This window comes from Homo sapiens, chromosome 8 (genome assembly GCF_000001405.40).
Source record: "Homo sapiens chromosome 8, GRCh38.p14 Primary Assembly".
NCBI classification, from domain to species: domain Eukaryota; kingdom Metazoa; phylum Chordata; class Mammalia; order Primates; family Hominidae; genus Homo; species Homo sapiens.
Genome location: NC_000008.11, coordinates 119,998,395 through 120,019,481, shown reverse-complemented (window position 1 = coordinate 120,019,481; position 21,087 = coordinate 119,998,395). Strand labels below are relative to the sequence as shown.

The following is a 21,087-nucleotide window of genomic DNA, read 5'->3' as shown; positions in this document are numbered from 1 at the left end:
CGCGTCAGTGGTTGCCTCTGCTGAAAGAGGCTGACTTGAAAGAGGCACAAGGGGGTCTCTGGAGGGAGAGATGTGTTCTGTGTTCTGATTGAGAGTGACACCAGTGTGCACATCTGATAAACTTACCAATCTATACACTTAAAAGGTATGCATTTTATTTTATTTTATTTTTTATTTTTGAGAGAGTCTCACTTTGTTGCCCAGGCTGGAGTGCAGTGGCGCAATCTCGGCTCACTGCAACCTCCTCCTCCTGGGTTCAAGTGATTCTCTTGCCTCAGCCTCATGAGTAGCTGGGATTACAGGCATGGGCCACCATGCCAGGCTAATTTTTGTATTCTCAGTAGAGACGGGGTTTCGCCATGTTGGCCAGGCTGGTGTCAAACTCCTGACCTCAAGTGGTCCGTCCGCCTCAGTCTCCCAAAGTGCTGAAATTACAGGTGTGAGCCACCACAGCTGGCCAAAAGCTGTGCATTTAAAAAATGTCCTTCTTCCTCTCTAGGCTATAAACCCCATGAAGGTCTAACATAATGCCTAGCACATGGTAGTGGTCAGTGAATAGTGAGTGAACAAGGAACTGTGCACTGTTATCGCTGTATTACTGAGGGCATCAGAGCCTGGCACAGAAGAATCCCTGCAAAGGAAGGACACAGAGCAGAAAAGGGCTCTGTGCTGAGACCCTGAGAAGCTGCCATCTCAGGCCACCGCTTCACAGCAAAGTGGTCATCTTGCTCCTCCCAGTCATGCCCAGTGGTGGGCAGTGGCTCATTGACCCTATCATTTTCTGTTAACTGAGAAGCTACAACTCTGCAAAAGTGAGACATAGCACTGCATACAAAACAATGCTGTTTATCCCATATGACTTTCCTGAACTCCACTGGAAAGGAACTACATTTTTTTTTTCTTTTGAGTCAGTCTTGCTCTGTTGCACAAGCTGGAGCGCAGTGGCGTGATCTTGGTTCACGGCAACCTCCACCTCCCGGGTTCAAGCAATTCTCCTGCCTCAGCCTCCCTAGTAGCTGGGATTGTGGGCATGTGTTACCAGGCCGTGCTAATTTTTGTATTTGTTAGTAGAGATGGGGTTTCGCCATGTTGGCCAGGCTGGTCTCGAACTCCTGATCTCAGGTGATCCGCCTGCCTCGGCCTCCCAAAGTGCTGGGATTACAGGCATGAGCCACCACGCCCGGTTATAACTACATATTTTTAAAACATCACTTCAGGATCTATGTCTTAGGGAAAAAAAAATCACAGAAGGCATTTTCTCATTTGTGTGGATAGTTACTTCACAATTTGCTTCTTTAGTTCCCAAATTATCTTAGCCAAATTAATTAGGAACCTGGCCTCTCTTGGTTCAGGGGGAAAATTCCATGAAATAGACAGTTATGTTGCCATCAGAGGGAAAGACCAAAAAGCAGGATTTTGACATTTTTTTCCTTGCTATGAAAAATAAGAAATTTTGAAAGAGGAAAAAAAGGACATCATGGCCACTAGTTCTTTATTCTGACTCAGATGGTTCTGTTTCTATGTAAATATGCAAAGAAACAGATAAACAGAGAAAAAAGGCCCCGTTAAGTCCACATCCATCAATTCATCACGGCAGGAAACAAGAAAAGAAGCCAGGAGGCTTGAAATCCCTCTGAGACTTGGCACAGGGTAGCATGAAAACTTGAACACTCTCACAGGATTTAATTATTCCCATAAGAAAAAATAAACTTTCCAGAAAAGAGCAAGGATATCTTTTGTTCCTGATTTGTAAGTAGGGCTCAAATTCCTTCAGAGCTTGAAGGCTGAATGGTTTGCTCTGACGAGTGTTTGATTAAACTACCAAAAGTGAGGATTTGGGATTTTTCACTTGGATGACCCTGCTAGATCTAGTCCTGACCTAAGTGAGCAGCTGATGCCAAGAATGAAAATTATTTATTTGATCTTCTCCAAAACAACCCAGGTGAACACGTGACCACTCCAACAAGAATACAAATTCTCTCTGCGGAAGACACGAAAGGTCACGCATCTATGAGCAGTTTGCCAGGGATTTCAGGGTTTAATAGAATATGTCATCTCTTGGGCTCCACCTCATGGGTTTGCATTTTTTGAAATAATACAATAGGAAGCATGTGGGTGTTGGGGGAGATAAATCAGATTTGAATCTAACTCTGACATTTACAAGCTGGGTGACCTTGGGAAATGGATAAGCTGGGTCTCGGTTTCCTCATTTGTAAAGTAAGGCGAACACTACCCACCCAGCTTCAGCAGTTGTTGGAACAGTGAGAGATCATAGGGACACAATGCTAGTGGTCACTAAGTGTATTTCCTGAGCCTTTCTTTGGAAGTATCAGTTCATTGAATCATTTAGTAAATTTGCTTCCAGCACGTACTAAAAGCCAAGAATTGTGCTAGGTATTGAGAATATAGTAGTTAAGACAGACAAGGGCTCTACATTTAGACAGCCGTTGAGAACAGATGGACAAGTAACATATAAATACATATAATCATATTCTAAAAAATATGATGGAGACAATGAGACAGGTGTTACAGACTGAACGTTTGAGTATTCCCAGAATTCATACATTGAGGTTGGGCATGATGGCTTAAGCCTGTAATCTCAACTTTATGGAGATTTTGGTATCCTGAGGTGGGCAGATCACTTGAGGTCAGGAGTTCGAGAACAACCTAGGCAACATGGTGAAACTCCATCTCTACAAAAAGTAAAAAAATTAGCCAGGCATGGTGGCATGATGTGCCTGTGGTCCAAGCTACATTGAAGGCTGACAGGAGGATCGCTTGAGCTCAGGAGGTGGAGGCTGCAGTGAGCCATGTTCAGGCCACTGCACTCCAGACTGGGTGACAAGGTGAAACTCTTTCTTTAAAAAAAAAAAAATTCCATGGCCAGGCATGGTGGCTCACACCTACAATCCCAGCACTTTGGGAGGCTGGGGCACGTGAATCACTTGAGGTCAGGAGTTTGAGACCAGCCTGACCAACATGGTGAAACCCTGTCTCTAATAAAAATACAAAAAAATTAGCTGGGTGTGGTGGTACACACCTGTAATCCCAGCTACTTGGGAGGCTGAGGCAGGAGAATCACTTGAACTCGGGAGGCAGAGGTTGCAGTGAGCTGAGATCGGGCCATTACACTTCAGCCTGGGCAACAAGAGCGAACCTCCATCTCAAAAAAAAAGGAAAAAAAAAAAATTCATACATTGAAATTCTAACCCCCAGTGTGATGGTATTAGAAGGTGGGGCCTTGGAAGGTAATTAGGTCATGAAGGTTGAGCCCAAATGAATGAGATTAGTGCCTTTATAAGCAGAGACTAGAGAACTTGCTCTTGCTCTCTCTGTACTATATCATTGTTGAAAGAGTTATTAAGAAGTTATTTTAGGCAGATAGAGAGGAAAAGGGGTCCTAGGGAAGTTTTTGTTTTTAAAGCAGCTCTTAGAGCCAGGCCAGCAACCTTTAATATGCAAATGGAGGCCATTAGAAACTGGGTCCATACAAACATGGCGATTCCCTGGCCTTCTTGCCCCTGCCCCACATGTTCCTGGCAACATGGCCGCCCCCACCTATCCCAGAGTGTGTAGAACATCAGGGTGCCCTGCATTTGCATATTAAAAGGCTAGGGTGGGAGGGCAAGCTTTTTCGGGCTACGTGAATGACATGCCTCGTCAAACCAATCCCCTGAGCCCTGTGCAAATCAGACACCACCTCCGCCAGCCTACTTATAAAACTGGCTGGTATCCATGGCACCTGGGGTCTCCTCTTTCGGCTTTGGAGCCCCCCTCCCTCTGTCTCTGTACGGGTGAGCATCTATCTTCGGCCTCCTCCCATCTTTCTTGCCTATTAGACTCTCTACTTCTTAAAACCACTCCACGTGTGTCCATGTCGTTTTTTCCAATTTGACTAGAGACAAAGAACCTGGTGTTCCTCCACTCATTGGAGCCATATCATCATTGTTGGGATATAGCAAGATGACCAACTGCAAACCAGAAGGCAGACCCTTACCAAACACCGGGCCTGCCAGCACCTTCATCTTGGACTTCCCAAACAAATGTTTGTCATTTAAGCCATCAATTCTAATCGGCAGCCTAAAATGACTAAGACCACATGGTGATATGAGGAGAAGTGATTGGAGAAAGACGGGAGGAATATCACAGGGTATTCAAGGAAGGTTTCTCTGAAAAATTAACATTTAATCTGAGACTTGAAGGACAACAATGGAACCAGCTATTCAGCCCTAGGCAGGAGAAAACCCAGTGTCTGGGAGGAACAGACAGAAGGCCAGGGAAGGAGATAAAGGTATGATAAGCAGGGCCCGGATTATAAACTTTGTAGACTACAGAAAACATCTGAGTTTATTCCTATTGTGATGGGGAGCCATTAGAGTATTTTGAGTGCCTGAGTCACTTAATTAGATTTTCTTGAGAGGCAGACATAGGCATAATCATGATGTATTACGGAAATGTAAAAATTCTCCCTGACTAAAGCAGAGGATGTCTTCTAGAGGATCATGTAAAATAAGGTTATCATAGATAGTATTGTCCAGAAATGGGTTTAGACTTGATGTGATTAAAAAAAAAAGATTATATCATTCAAGGTTGTGACATGAAACCAACGTTAACGTTTACACAATATTCATTATACTGTAACCTACAGAATAGCTTGGGGGTTGGGCATGGTGGTTTACGCCTGTAATCTCAGCACTTTGGGAGGCCAAGGTGAGCAGATCACTTGAAGTCAGGAGTTTGAGACAAGCCTGGCCAACATGGTGAAACCCTGTCTCTACTAAAAATACAAAATGAGGCATGGTGGCACATGCCTGTAGTCCCAGCTACTCGGGAGGCTCAAGCAGAAGAATCGCTTGAACCCGGGAGGCGGAGGTTGCAGTGAGCCAAGATTGTACCACTGCACTCCAGCTTGGGCAACAGAGTGAGACTCTGTCTAAAAAAAGGGAAAAAAAAATAGCTTGGGGAAGGAACTGGCTTCCCTTTCAAAGTAGCAGCAAAGAGATAAGAGACAGATTTTTTTCCTCCTGGAATGATTTCTTCCTCTAGGATATGAGTATCTGGATGCTGACATTAAATGAGCTCCTGTAGCGAAAGAGCCTTGCACGGCTCAGGGTCAGGTACATAGAAGAGACAGTTCCTTCTCTCGTTTGCTCCTTTCCCCTTTGCATTGAAAGGAAACCAAAAGCCCTGGATATAAAATTCTTCAAGGATGAGTGAAAAGTCATCAAAGGAAAAATGCAGGAAACAACTTCTTGATGTAAATGCATTGCATGGGTTGATGAAACTTTTGATGATTTCCATATTTCATGCTCCATTCTAGAATTGTAGTGCCAAACAAAAGTCCTCCAAGCCCGACGTTTACAGATTTTATTTTTTAAGTAAAAGAACTTTCAAAATAAGAGTAGCTCAAATTCAAAGATGCTTGGTCAAGCCTAGCCAACATGGTGAAACCCCGTTTCTACTAAAAATACACAAAATTAGCTGGGCATAGTGGCACGCCTGTAATCCCAGCTACTCGGGAGGCTGAGGCAGGAGAATCGCTTGAACCCAGGATGTGGAGGTTGCAGTGAGCTGAGATCCCGCCACTGCACGCCAGCTGGGCGACGAGAGTGAAACTCCATCTCAAAAAAAAAAAAAAAAAGTAGTCATAGCAAAAGTGTGAAAATCTCACTGGATGGAGTGGCCACAAAGGCCCAGATGCAGGGCTCTGCCCCCATTCAAAACCTGGGGAAAATGAGAACCCTGACTAAAGGGAGAGCCTGACATTCAGTGCAGGAAGGGACACTGAGGCACTTTACACTATCCTAGGTCAGCTCTGGACAGTCAGAGATGCCAAAAGGAGGCATGTGGTCAGAATGCTGGAAAATTTCCACCACTCAGACCTAGCAGGTTAATCAGTGCCCAAGTGGGCGGATCCTTCCCACAGGGCACCCCAGGACCCTCTTGACGACTACACACCCCAAACTCTGCAGTTTTCTGAGTTGAAGATAGCAGCAATGACAGCTTGCTGGGAACAAGCCTTTACGAATAGATTATACAAATGGCTTCTTTGTAAGTGAAATTATTCTATGACAAATGGTAAAATAGGAAATAATTGAGTCAGTATTTTCGGTAAGAAAATAATGTACAAAATAATTTCTAATGAATATAAGCAGCTAAACTATACGGAAGGACATGGTATTTGCTATCATTGTAATTTAACCAACAAACAGTAATACTAAAAATGTATATCTCTGTATAGTCATGCACTGCATAATGATGTTTCAGTCAACTATGAACTGCATATGTGATGGTGGTCCCATCATCTTTTTTTTTTTTTTTCTTTTTGAGACAGTCTCGCTCTGTCACCCAGGCTGGAGTGCAATGGTGCAATCTTGGCTCACTACAACCTCTGCCTCCCGGGTTCATGTGATTCTTCTGCCTCAGTCTCTTGAGTAGCTGGGACTATAGGCACCCACCAGCATGCTTGACTAATTTTTGTATTTTTAGTAGACACTGGGTTTCAGCATGTTGACCAGGTAGATCTCAATCTCCTGACCTTGGGTGATCTTCCCACCTCAGCCTCCCAGCGTGCTGGGATTACAGGCATGAGCCACTGAGCCTGGCCTCCCATCATCTTATAAGATTGTAATAAAGCTAAAAAATTCGGCTGGGCGTGGTGGCTCACGCTTGTAATCCCAGCACTTTGGGAGGCCGAGGCAGGCGGATCACGAGGTCAAGAAATCGAAACTATCTTGGCCAAAATGGTGAAACCCTGTCTCTACTAAAAATACAAAAATTAGCTGGGCATGGTGGTGCGTGCCTGTAGTCCCAGCTACTTGGGAGACTGAGGCAGGAGAATTGCTTGAACCTGGGAAGTGGAGGTTGCAATGAGCAGAGATCGCACCATTGCACTCCAGCCTGGGCAACAAAGCCAGACTCTGTCTCAAAAAAACAAAAACAAAAACAAAAACAAAGAATGCTTTAAAAAAAAAATTCCCATTGCCCAGTGACATCACAGTTGTCATAATATTATAGCTCAATTCATTATTTTTTCTATGTTTAGACACACAAATACCATTGTGTTACAATTGCCTACAGTATTCAGTACAGTAACATGCTGTACAGTGTTTATAGCCTAGGAGCAATAGGCTATATCTAGGTATGTGGTAGGCTATACCACCCAGGTTTGTGTAAGTACACTCCATGATGGTCACACAATGACAAAATTGCCTTAAAACCCATTTCACAGAACATAACCCTGTCATTAAGTGGTGTATGACTTTATATCAATTCCAATACTGTTTGGCCAAAAATCTTAGAAGGGTTTTAGGGCTATATCTTAACAACAACACTGATAAAGATTCCTTTTGCATGTTTCTCTTAAATGATAAAATGTTATGTTAAACAATTTAAACAAGGTTTTTTTTTCCTCCTGCCAGGTTTGTCAGAGTTTTCAATATGCTAATGTGCTTTGTAAATTTCTAAGAGGGGGATAAAGTATGTGGCAGTTTAAAACTGCTTTGATCAGAGAACCTCAGGACAGATGTTTTGCTGGACCAGGGAGCTGTGTAATAATACAGTGATGGAAAGGCTGCTCTAATGAACTCTGTAAAGCTCTATAACATAAGAAAACCACTGTGTACCTCTGAAGAAACTAAACATATAAACCATATGAAGTATTAGCTTATGAAATTGAAAAAATATATCAGGTAAAACATCGATCAGGGAATATACGTTAAAGAGTTAGTTAATGAGTTGACAATGCCCAGAACGGTTATGTATGTACATCAACAAAGATAAACTAAATCAATTAATTTCACTGTACATTTGGCTAAGCAAAACAAGGTCTTTAGTTGCAATGTAAATAAATTCATTGCTTTCCTCAAAAGAAATGCTCTTTAAGCCAAAGCATCATGCGAGTGAGTGCACACTCAGAACTGAAGCATTGTGCCAAAAAAAATTTATACCAGGTACTTTATTGTGGAAATAAAATATAAAATCCTTCCCCAGCCAAGAGTTCCATTAGAAAATGAAAAATTCAGCCTTGGCATGGACACAAATGCTTGCTTTTTTATGATCCTGGCCAACATTCCTACTCTGAGTTGCTTTGGTGCTGTGCCTGCTGCAGTCCTGGGAAGGTAGAAGGGCTCTGCCATGCACCGCCTTCGCAAGCAGGGCTTCCATGGCTGCCCCAGAGCACAGGACCCCAGGGCCTGTGCCTCCCTGACATGAGTGAGGTGTTCAAATCAAAAGGTGGAAGCAGCCCCTAATCATACCAGCGCTGATTACCTGGGCAAGCAGTAAATGTGCTCTTTGCTTCCTTGAGCCATTTTCTGTTGCCCACTTATTTTTTCCAGCATGCAAACCAATGCCAGAGAGCTCATGCTGGAAATCAGAGAGGTGGCGATCCCAATCATGCTTATTGCTACTCTAGGAAAAGACTGATGGAAGAGGATGAAAGTATTGAATAAATGAACAGGGGAATGATCTTTAGCTTTTAAGCCTTCTGCATCCTCTTATGGTTTTGGATAATCAAGACAGAAATACCCTTTTGTGAAACATTTCACAGACAATAGAACAAAGCTGTGCTATATAAAGGTATTTCAAAGCAGAAAACCTCAACATCCTCTTAAATAAAAACAATGTAAATAGTATATATACACACACAAGAAGTCTAGAAGAATATAAATCAAAATGTTAATGGCTAGGTTTTATAGGATGCCAATTACACACTTCAAATAAAGCTGCTTAAAAAATGTTAACAGTAGTCATCTCTGAGTTAGGGAAGATTAGAAGTAATTTTAATTTTTTTCCTGCTTGCATATATTTTCCAAATTTTCTTGACTGTATATGTGTGTTTTTTTCTTCTTTTTTTTTTTTTTGAGACAGAGTCTTGCACTCTGTCACCCAGGTTGGGGTACATTGGTGCGATCTCAGCCCACTGCAACCTCTGCCTCCCAGGCTCAAGCAATTCTCCTGCCTCAGCCTCCTGATCAGCTGGGACTACAGGAATGAGCCACTACGCCTGGCTAATTTTTTGTATCTTTAGTAGAGACCGGGTTTCACCATGTTGGTCAGGCTGGTCTTGAACTCCTGACCTAAAGTGATCCACCCGCCTCAGCCTCCCAAGATGCTGGAATTACAGGCATGAGCCACCATACCTGGCACGTATATGTATCATTTTAGTACTAAAAAATATGTAACAGTTATTTTCAAAAATCTTCCATAATTCATTCATTAATGAATTGTTGTTTGTGTAGCTCTTTGTACTTTATCAAGGTTTCCACACATTTAATCCATAAAACAACGGGAAATAGTATGATTGTCATTTCAGAGAGGAGAAAACAGACTCTGAGATGCTATAAAACTTGTTCAAAGTCAACGAGCTAGTAGCTAACAGGACCGAGATCTAGATCTCCAGATCTCTGCCAAAGTTCATGGTTTTTGTTTTCTTTTTCTCAGTATTGGCTATGTCGTATGGTCTATTATGTGCTACCGGTTACATAAACCCCACAGGAATACACCTTGCATAGAATAGAAGCATTGGAGTTCTTACACAAAGATTTAAGCAAAGGGAAATACATAATTTTTCAAATTCAGTATTGGTTGAGGGGAAACATGTAAAACACCAGGGGAGGTTTGGAGACCAAACCTCCAAACACCAGGGAGGTAGTAAAACTTGCTCTCCTGGTTCCTATATCATATGTGCTTGGCTTCATTTTAACCCCATTCAGAAAGGGAAAAGGAAATTTGACAAAAATGAAGCCAAAACGCTTAGGGAGAAAAAGTACACATGGCACCAAATAATGAAATTAAGCTAGAGGTATTTAGACACTGCTAAATGTTGTTTTGTTGTTGTTGTTGTTGTTTTGTTTTGTTTTGTTTTAGAGACAGAGTCTCGCTTTGTCACCCAGGCTGGAGTGCAGTGGTGCGATCTTGGCTCACTACAACTTCTGCCTCCTGGGTTCAAGCGATTCTCCTGCCTCAGCCTCCTGAGTAGCTGGGATTACAGGTGTGTGCCACCACGCCCGGCTAATTTTTGTATTTTTAGTAGGGATAGGGTTTCGCCACGGTGGCCAGGCTAGTCTTGAACTCCTGACCTCAAGTGATATGTCTGCCTTGGCCTCTGAATGTGCTGGAATTACAGGTGTGAGCCACCGCGCCTGGCTAGACACTTCTAAATGTTTATTAGAGGAGAGGGAAGACCCAGGGAAAGGTTAAAGACTTTGGAGAACAAGAAAGAGAGGGCAGAAATAGAAAAGGACACAAAATAAGATGGGTTTGGATCCCTAGTAAGAATCATGGCCAATTTAGCATGAAGAACCCAAGACAGATATAAAAGAGGGTGAGAAAGACCCGTTAGTACCTTCATTCCTGCTGCGGCTGCAGGGCCACTGGGGTCTACAGCCTGGATGTGGCATGGCTTACTTCCTCGCACCACAAAACCCCAGCCAACCGCGTCACCAACAATCTAGAGAGGAAAACCACAATTAGCAAGCAGCCGACTGTCTCCGGCAATTTGCTTATTCTTCTGAGGGAGAGAAAACCAGCCCAGGATTAAGTATACACTGTGACATATTTTCCTCCGTTTCTCTCTTCCCTGCCAGGGGATTGGAACACTGCTTCTATCACAAACCCGGGCATCTCCCTGTAGAAAAGGTGGTAAAAAAAATCTAACCTGTTTGGCAGAAAGAAGATGCTCCCATGAGGGCATGATTCAATAAACAACTGGAAGATTTTCTCTTTCTTAGGCTGTTATACAATTTAATGTCAGACTCCAATAGAAGGTTTAGAAAAAGTCGTAACGTGGTTGAAATGTCTCTCCAGATACAATTTCTGCTCTAAGTTTGTTCTTTTCCCCAGTATCCAAATGATACACTCTTGATCCTGCAACGTCATTGAAGTCTAGCATAATTATTGAAATTACTAATGGTGGGAAATAAAGAGACCTGGCTTTTTTTTTTTTTTTTTTGAGACAGAGTCTTGCTCTGTCACCCAGGCTGGAGTGCAGTAGTGCAATCTCAGCTCACTGCAACCCCACCTCCCGGGTTCAAGCGATTCTCCTGCCTCAGCCTCCTGAGTAACTGGGATTACAGGCATGCAACACCATGCCTGGCTAATTTTGTGTATTTTTAGTAGAGACAGGGTTTCACCATGATGGTCAGGCTGGTCTCGAACTCCTGAGCTCAGGTGATCCACCTGCCTCAGCCTCCAAAGTGCTGGGATTACAGGCGTGAGCCACCATGCCCAGCCTCCACCAAGGGAGCCCTCCACCAAGGGCTCCACCATGCCCCTTTCTCCACCAAGGGGGGAAAAGAAGTGAAAAAGTACATAAAGTTCACAATGTACAAGTAGACTCTAATCCAAAAGTTGTTTGGAATTAGAGAAGGCCTTTTCTATAGAAATCATTATTAGAGCTGGCAGTTTAATTCCCTGGACAGCTCCTAGCCACATCTTTCACACATATCCCAACCAAAACACAGCTGAAACACATTCACAATCAATTACTAACAATGTTGGCATTTAAATTAAAAATCAAAAATAAATACTTTCAAAATAACAATCTACCTCTCTTGAATGCTGGAGACTGAGGAAAAACAGGGAGGCAAATGAAAATTTTTGTGGAAATGCTCAAGATTTTCAGGCACTTCCGTTACTTTACAGTTTGCTGTTATTTGTATATTATACTCAATTTCACTTCCGAAGGTGGAGTTTATCTTTTCCTCTGGTACAGACATGTTGTCAGCGCCTTTCTCCTATTAACTCCTCAGCATTCAGAATGTGAAATAGCCCTCAGCAAATGTTTGCAGCATGACTGAGTGTGGATAGAATTCTCCCCCAGCCTGAGGCAATGCCACTAAAGTTAGAAGATGAAGGAGGAGAAGTGTTTTGAAGAGGGTATGAACGTGAATTTGAGGAGATTGACAGAAGGAGACACAGGAAGGGGAGTGGGTGCGGTGATGCTGAAAAGAGCACTTTCATTCCATTTGAAGAAATCCAACGTAGGCATTAGGAACCTAAAGGACCTCCAAGAAGGGGCAGGTGGTCCGGAGCTGCTCACAGCAAGTCAGAGGCTCGTGTACCTCAAGGCATGCACACATTGTCGAAGCACCCTGCCTACGGTAGAAAAGTTTATCCCACAGTTTCCTTTCTCTAGCTTAACACTCCCCTAATGTTTTAAATAATTTCTAGAATTAATCCTAATGCAGAAGGGATTATTGGCATCATTTGCACTTCCATTTGCCATAAAATCTAATAATAATTTAAATGACTAATGGTGGGAAATAAAATCTAAAATTATTAGATTTTAAGGTAAATGCAAGTGCAAATGATGCCAATCTTGAAATTTGCAATTAAATTAGAATAAATGCATAATGGAAATCTTTTCTTTAACAAAGAACACATCAAAAAATTTTTAAATGGTATATTAATAATAACGCATGTGAAGTCCTAATGCACCTTAGTGCCTTGAGGTCAAGAAAGCCTAGTATCATAATTACGCTAAAAACAAAAAGAAAATTAGAAAAGTAGTTTTCATTTCAGTCTATAAGCTACCCATTGACACATGGACACGGTGCAGAAAAATGGGCAGCACGGGAGAAAAAGGCCAGACCATCAGCCTACCGTGAATGTCTTCCTTGCATACGGAGCCCCGGGAGTAAGGAGTTCCTCAGAGGTGACAGGTCTCTTCAGCACTGGCAGACAAACACAATGTCAAGACATAAGCACTTCCAAGTCCTCTATCCATGCATTCAGCAGCTATTTATTGATATCTCGTAGGTGACCATCAGTGAGAAAAAGTGGCAAAGATCCCTGCCTCACAGTTTATATTTTAGCTGAATGGAGACAGTAAATAGCAGCAAACATAAATAACCCTAAACCTACCTTACAAAGCTAAGGAAAAAAAGAAAGAGAAGGAAAGCAAGAGTGCCAGGGGTGGGGATAAGGGGGCAGGTCAATTTTTTTTTTTTTTTAAAGACGGAGTTTTGCCCTTGTCACCCAGGATGGAGTGCAATGATGCGATCTCGGCTCACTGCAACCTCCGCCTCCTGGGTTCAAGCAATTCTCCTGCCTCAGCCTCCTGAGTAGCTGGGATTACAGGCACCCAACACCATATCTGGCTAATTTTTGTATTTTTAATAGAGACAGGGTTTCACCATGTTGGCCAGGCTGGTCTTGAACTCGTGACCTCAGGCAATCTGCCTGCCTCAGCCTCCCAAAGTGCTGGGATTACACGCATGAGCCGCCCAGCCTCACTTCCTTCTTAACACCTAGGACTGCATGTACCCACTGCTTTCTGCCATGAGTAATAATGCTAGTGAACTTTTCTGAGTACTCAACATATGCTAGAGAGGCACCATGTGAGGTGAATATATTAACTCACTTAATCATCACAAGAATGAATGAGTTAGGATCATTGTTATCCCCATTTTATAACTGCAAAAACAACCTTAGAAAAGTTAAATTGATTGTGTCCAAGGTCCCAGAGCGAATGGGTGGCAGAAGTAGAATCAAACTCAGGCATTAGACACCAGCACCCACACTCTCAGCTACTGTGCCACATTTACTCTGGGCCATGCTGTCCTGCAAGCAAAAGAAAGGGTCTAGAAGCTCAGGAAGATAGTGGCATGCTGTCCTCCTGAGACACCCGTTCACATCAGCTCACTGCTGTTGCCCACCAAGATGGCAGACAGCAGCCAATTCCTGACTTGCGGCTGCCTAAAACCCACCGATAATGAACCCCCCCATCCATCCTGTGCTCACTAAGAACTGGAGAGGGGCTGTCGTATCCTCCCCAAGTAGCCAGGGGGTCAGGGGACAGAGACCATTCTAATCCAGCTCTGCAGACATTGTGAACTTGAAGTGCCACAGAGAAACAGAAAAGGCCCCAGCCAAGGGGCCTAACCTGGTGAGGTGGCATCCTCCGATCCCCTTTGCTAGTGACAGTCAGAGGCCAGGTACCAGTCCTGGAAAGAGTGTGCAGCAGACAAGGAAAGGCAGCGTGGGGCAAGGCGTGATGATCTACCAGGCAGCTGGACCTCGCCCACTGGTTACATGAACGGCCTTCTGGCCTGAGAAGCACCCTCTCAGTGAAAGGCAATCCAGTGCTTCTTGTTGAGGTGACAGGTTGCTGATCTTATCACCTTTGCTTTCAGAAATCTCATAAAAGCAAAAATTAATTTATGTTCGCCAAACAAGAGGGAGTAGGTCAAATATCAAGATGGAAACAGAATCTCTCAGCAGATGGATGGGAGGTAAGAAAAGTGGTCAGTATTTGAGGACTGAGATCTTTTTTATTCCCTGTCAGGTAACTCTCTCTCCACTCCCCATAAACCCTCAGGGGGCTTATGAATTTGGATACATGAATCACACTGTACTATTTGGCAGCAGAGCTGACCATTCATTTTAATGCACTTCTCTTTATTATGTTGAAAAATATAGAAACTTTGAGGCCTAGGGAAAACTTTTTTCTTTTCATATCCTTGGAAGCTTATTTGCTTATCACAATGATACTGATAACATCAATATCTTTAGTACTGTTTTTTGTGTCTGGCTTAGGGCATTTATATACAGTACTAAAAAAACATATCCTGGTGTATTTCAGATAATTAATTTTTAAATGCATCACTGTGAAGGCCTGATCATCTGCTTGAGAAAAAAAAATCACAGATGAACTCACTGGGTCTTGGGAATCCTCTTAAGAGTGAGAGAGAAGCTTGTCAAACTATGGGTAAGAAGTGGAATTTACAAACCACAACTCAGTCCTGACAGCTCTTGTCCTTGGGGACCCACGAAAGGAAACGAGACCTTTTTCTTCTGCCTGCATAACAGTAAACTCTTCCCTTTGACCCAGAGGCAAGGAGAAAGAGGAAACATGCTAACCTACCTCAGGGAACATGGATTTTGTTGCTAATTTCAGTAATTAACACTTTTTTCATACTCCATCATAAGCAATCAAAAACTTGTAAAATGGTTATGGCACCACTGACCCTTTTATTGAAACTGAGATCTTTTGCTTTTAACTTTGAGGATGCCTGTCAGATTTCTACAAAGGCTTCAAACATCCCATTTCTAAGAATTCAGTTCTCCTTTTTCATTCTACTTTAGCAGCAAGCTCCAGTAATTGAAAAACCCAGTACTCAACGACTCTTCAGCCAGGACAGTATGGAAGCAAGCTTCTTCATTCACTTACAGGTTACATTTATTCCTGCTGCTAACACTCCAGAAGGCAGCAAAAAAAGAAAAAAAGTTAGATCAGGAAAAAGAGCCACCTTCCTAGATAATACCATTAGATGACAGAGTTTTCTCTCAAAGCCTTTTGAACTGCATCAATTAGTGCTTATTCTTACTAACATGAAATGTTTTGTTTTTTTCTCCAAAGAGGTGGTGTTTTCATTGAGTTGGGGGTTATGACCTGTCATCTTTGTATCCCCAAGATCTGATGATGAGGAAACAACATGAACAAAAGGAACAGAGCCTCTTCCTCGAAGGTGACAAACTGAACTGGGGGTGGACAGTGCCTTAAACAAATGGGTTTGAGAGTGTTCTCTGGCGGTTACTGTAGTGATGGACCACACATCCTCATCCTGGCAAGTGAGGACATTAGGTGGGTAAGGGATGGTGAGAAAGGGTAGTTTCAATGGATTACCAGTTCCTGGGTGGTTGATGAACTGATTGGGTGGAGGAAGGATTGTTTCTAAGTACATGTTCACCAACAATTTTGTGCCTAGATTTTTTTCCTGGAATATAAAGGCCATGGAGGTTGATGAGCAGATTTTGAAACCACAAGACACCCAGGGTCAATTCCAGGGATAGCTGGGTTTGCACACATCCATGCTTCTTCCTTAAGGGTGTTGGGCCCCAACAGATCTTATGCATCGGCTGCATTCTGGGGAAGTGCTGTTTCCCCTGCTGTGAGCACTGTCACATACTGCCCAAAACACCCTTCAGGGCTCAGGGACTTCTCCCAGCTCCGAGAGTGCTAATGGTGACAGCCCTCAGCTGTCTTGGAGACCATCTCTCTGAAGACACCTGCTTTGCCCAAGGTCATGCCCTCCTCCCAGGGGCAGCCAATACCTAATAAGTGGCCAACATGTGGATCTAAAGGCCCAGCCCCCTCAACACAACTCCAGGCAACTTGGAAGGGCCATCCCAGCTCCAGAGGTCTTACTGGGTCAATGATAGCCTTCATTGAGACTGGGCTACAACCCAATTTCTCCTTCAGCCCAATTCTTCCTTCCCTTCCATTCAACACGTGTGGACCCCAAGAGCATGCTCTAACTTATTAGAACCCACACACTAGTCTCCCGCTATCTCAGATTCTGCTTCCCAGGGACCTGCCCAAGTCCCCACAGTCTTAGGAGCGGGGCCACCTTTTGGGCACTCACCGGACTTGGGGTTGCAGAGCACAGGGGGGCTGCTGCTGAGGGTGGGGCTGCTGCTGAAGTAGCCGCTGCTGCCACAGCTGCTCATGCTGCTTCTCCTCACTGCAGACACGATCTTGATCTCCTTGCTGGGGCTCACTGTGTAGGCCAGAGAACACACACAGTCACCAAGGGGGTGGTCTCGGCTCACTAGAGCACATAGGCTTTCAACTGCAAGGTCCAGAGGGGCCAGGAGAAAGCACACTGGTCTTAGTGGCAGAAAAACAAGAACTTGAGTTGCAGCTCTGCCACTTACTTTATATTATATATATATATATATATATTTTTTTTTTTTTTTTGAGATGGAGTCTTGCCCTGTTGCACAGGCTGGAGTACGTGACACAACCTGGGCTCACTGCAACCTCTGCCTCCTGGGTTCATGCGATTCTCTTGCCTCAGCCTCCTGAGTAGCTGGGACCATAGGTGTCCGCCACCACGCCCGGCTAAATTTTGTACTTTTAGTAGAGATTTGTTCTCTGTCACCCCTGATAACGGGTGGATAACCAGTCACTTTTTTGTGGTTACTGGTGTAAATGCCCACAGAAATAATCTTCTTATTCATCTTTGAAATGGATAGCTTTGCAAAGTTGTGATTTACAAAACTGAATAATTAAATGATATATAAAAACTACTTGTAAGGCCGGGCGCAGTGGTTCACACCTGTAATCCCAGCACTTTGGGATGCCAAGGCAGGAGAATCACGAGGTCAGGAGTTTGAGACCAGCCTGGCCAACATAGTGAAACCCTATCTCTACTAAAAATACAAAAATGAGCCAGGCATGGTGACACGTGCCTGTAGTCCCAGCTACTTGGGAGGCTGAGGCAGGAGAGTCTCTTGAACCCGGGAGACAGAAGTTGTGGTGAGCCAAGATTGCACCACTGCACTCTAGCCTGGGCAACAGAGCGAGACTCTGTCTAAACAAATAAACAAACAAAAACTTGTATTTATTTATTTATTTTTAAATTTTTTGGACAGATGAGGTCTTGCTATATTGCTCAGCCTAGTCTCAAACTCCTGATCTCAAGTGATTCTCCCACCTCAGCCTCCCAAGTAGCTGAGATTACAGATGTGTGCCACCATGCCAGGCAAGAATGGCTTGTAAATGAAAAGTAAATGAGGTTTGAGTGAGAGCCTAGAGGACTTCTATAATTCAAATACATAATTTTATAAAACAGAGTCCTGGCATCTAAGTTGGCTGTGCAAGAAAAACTTAGGGTTTCAGAATTTTTTTCATGCTTCTTGGTTATGAATAAGTAAAAATTCTACGCTCTGATAGAGAACAGAATTTCACAAAGGTGAGTCATGGCTCCACTATTTCTCAAAAGACAAACACTTGAGCTCCAATAAATGCCGGGATGGCATACCTGACATAAAGCTGGTAGATTTCCGATTGTCATGGCTCTGCTTCCTCAGGCAGAAGGGACTGTCATGAGTTTCCTGGGAGGAGGGGGACTTTTCATTGAGCAGCTCCATCAGTCTTCGCCTCCGCCGGAAGTTCATTCTGAACTGGTAGAGAAGATTGCTGTCCACAAATGGGTGCTTGTTGGACACTGGGGAGAAAAAAAAAAACAACCAATGAGGACTATCTGGCATCCTGGCCACTGAGCGCTACAGCCAAAGGACTGCAGGCAACAGCGGCAAAAGTCTCAAGAAAGACTTCTCTTCCACAGATGCCACATGAGCTGCCGCCCATCCGCCCATGGTTCCAAGTTCTTTCCACGTGACATGCACTTTAAAAATTTGCTAACCAATTCCTCTGGGGAACTTTGCCTGACCTTGCTTTCAATCTGAGTTCTATTCTTCCTAGTGTTCTCCTGGCTCCTGTGCTGCTTCCACCAAAGCACTGATAACACTGCACCCTCACTGTCTGCCCCTTCTCTTTCCCTCTAAACTCTAAGCTTGTTGGGGCAGTGATCATGGCTTCACTTACTCATGTGTCCCCATTGCCCAGCAGAGAGCTTGTCTCATAGCCACACTCGATCCTTTTTCTTTTTTTTTGAGATGGTGTCTCGCTCTGTCACCCAGGCTGGAGTGCAATGGCATGATCTCGGCTCACTGCAACCTCCGCCTCCCAGGTTCAAGCGATTCTCCTGTCTCAGCCTCCCGAGTAGCTGGGATTACAGGTGCCCACCACCACACCTGGCTAATTTTTGTATTTTCGTAGAGACGGGGTTGCACCATGTTGGCCAGGCTGGTCTCGAACTCCTGACCTCAACTGATCCACTCTCCTCAGCCTCCCAAAGTGCTGGGATTACAGGTGTGAGCCACCACACCCAGCCCCTCAATTCATTTTTAAAAACTTTTTATTTTGAGGCCAGGTGCGGTGGCTCAAGCTTGTAATCCCAGCACTTTGGGAAGCCAGGATGGATGGATCACTTGAGGTCAGGAGTTTGACACCAGCCTGGCCAACATGGTGAATCCTCGTCTCTACTAAAAATACAATAATTCGCCAGGTGTGGTGGCATACACCTGTAATCCCAGCTATTTGGGAGGCTGAGGCATAAGAATCACTTGAACCCGGGAGGCAGACATTGCAGTTAGCTGAGATTGCACCACTGCACTCCAGCCTGGGCAACAGGGCAAGACTCTGTCTCAGAAAAAACCAAAATAACTTCTTATTTTGAAATAATTATAGACTTACAGAGAGTTGCAAAGAAAATGCAGAGACCACACACTGTATGATTCCATTCATATGGAATGTCCAAAACAAAGACACTTCTAGAGACAGAAGTATACTGGTGGTTGCCAGGGGCTGGAGGGGGGCCTTGGGGTTGGTTTGGGAGGGGTATTAGCTACAGCACACAATTTCTTTTTGAGGTGATGAAAATGTTCTAAAATTGCCTGTTGTGATGATTACAAAACTCTGTAAATATGCTAAGAACCACTCAATTGTACACTTTAATGAATTGCTTGGTATGTGAACTATATCTTCATAAAGCTGTTAAAAAAAATCGGCAAAGAGTACAGAGAGTTCCTGGGTACCCTTCACCCAGATTTTCCCAATGGTAACCCCTTACATAAATAACTATAGTATAATATCAAACCAGAATGTTGACATCGGTACAGTCTACGGCCCTTATTCAGATGTCACCAGCTTTTACATGCACTGATTTGTGTGTGTGAGTGTGCATGTGTGTGCAGGAGCACATATAGTTCAGTGCGGTTTTATCACACGTAGAGATTTCTGTAACCACCACAACAATCATGGCAGAAGAACTCTCTCCCTGTGTTTCCCCTCTATGGCCTCCTTCACTGAATTCCTGATGCCTGGCAACCACCTTTGCTCTCCATCTCTACAATGTTATCACTTTGAGAACATTATGTAAGTGGAATCATACTATCTGTTGCCATTTATGTTTGCTGTTTAATACATAAATAAATGGTTACCCAATAATAAAGCCTGCTTAGTCCCTAAGGAAATCTATACTTTATTTATTTACTAATTTATTTAGAGATAGAGACTCACTCTGTTGCCCAGGCTGGAGTGCAGTGGCACGATCATAGCTCACTGTAGCCTCGAACTCCTGGGCTCAAGTGATCCTCCTGCCTCAGCCTCCCAAGTAGCTAGGACTGCAGGCACACACCACTGTGCCCAGCCAAAATCCACACTTTAGAGTGATATAAACATGCCAGTGTGTCAACTTGAAGTCAGTAATAACAAGAGCTAGCCCTCATACAGCATGTCCTATAAACCCAGCATGACCTTAAGTAAGTGTCTTATATGTTCTAATTCCTTTAATTATCACAACAGCTTGGGATATAGGTACCATTATTTTATTTCCTTTTTTTTTCTTTTTTTTTTGAGACAGAATTTCACTCTTGTTTTCCAGGCTGGAGTGCAATGGCACAATCTCGGCTCACCGCAACCTCCACCGAGTCTCGGGTTCAAGCGATTCTCCTGCCTCAGGCTCCGAAGTAGCTGGGATTACAGGCATGCGCCACCACACCCATACCTGGCTAATTTTGTATTTTTAGTAGAGACGGGGTTTCTCCATGTTGGCCAGGCTGGTTTCAAACTCCCAACCTCAGGTGATCTGCCCACCTCGACCTCCCAAAGTGCTGGGATTACAGACACGAGCCTCCGTGCCCGGCCTATTTTATTTCTTCTTCTTCTTTTTTTTTTTTTTTCCTATTTTTGATGAGGGAACTGAAGTCCAAAGGTATTAGGAAGTCACCCAAAGAAGACATAGTAAATGGCAGAGGTAGAAATATAATACAGTATCTGATTCCAGAGTCCAAGTTCCAAACCACTGCTCTTACTGCTTCTGTGAGAAACAATTCCTTCTCCAGATCATCATAAAAATCAAAACCATGTCCCATAAAACTGCTCATGTATGACTATTAGTCTGGACGTACATCCAATTCTATACCATTTATATCTTAGAAATCCATTGAGATTTATTTATTGCCTCAATTTTATACTTTGAGTTCATGATTCTTGGAGCTATAGTGCAGGTTGTACATCAGGCCCCAAAAGCCATGTTCCTGGATCATTTCTGTCTGTAGAGTCATCAGGGACTCTGCAAACTGGTCACCATCATGCGGAAGTCTCATGCAACTTTCCCCCAGAAGCAAAAAACTTGAATAGATGACACAAAAACAGAAGACACACAAATATCTAATTAGCACATGAAAAGAGGCTCAACCTCATTAGTCAATATGGAAATACACATTAAAACC

General features: G+C 43.6%; 1 protein-coding gene across 2 annotated transcripts in view; it reads right to left on the bottom strand.

Annotated features, from left to right (window-relative positions):
* DEPTOR (DEP domain containing MTOR interacting protein) overlaps nt 1–21,087 on the bottom strand; it is a 177,197-nt gene that overhangs the window by 31,437 nt on the left and 124,673 nt on the right. For both annotated transcript variants that reach the window (NM_022783.4, NM_001283012.2), the window contains 4 exons: nt 17,772–17,957; nt 16,371–16,505; nt 12,607–12,677; nt 10,349–10,453 (listed from right to left, as the gene is read on the bottom strand). In NM_022783.4, coding sequence (NP_073620.2) covers nt 10,349–10,453; nt 12,607–12,677; nt 16,371–16,505; nt 17,772–17,957 — 497 coding nt within the window. The remainder of the gene's footprint in view (nt 1–10,348; nt 10,454–12,606; nt 12,678–16,370; nt 16,506–17,771; nt 17,958–21,087) is intronic.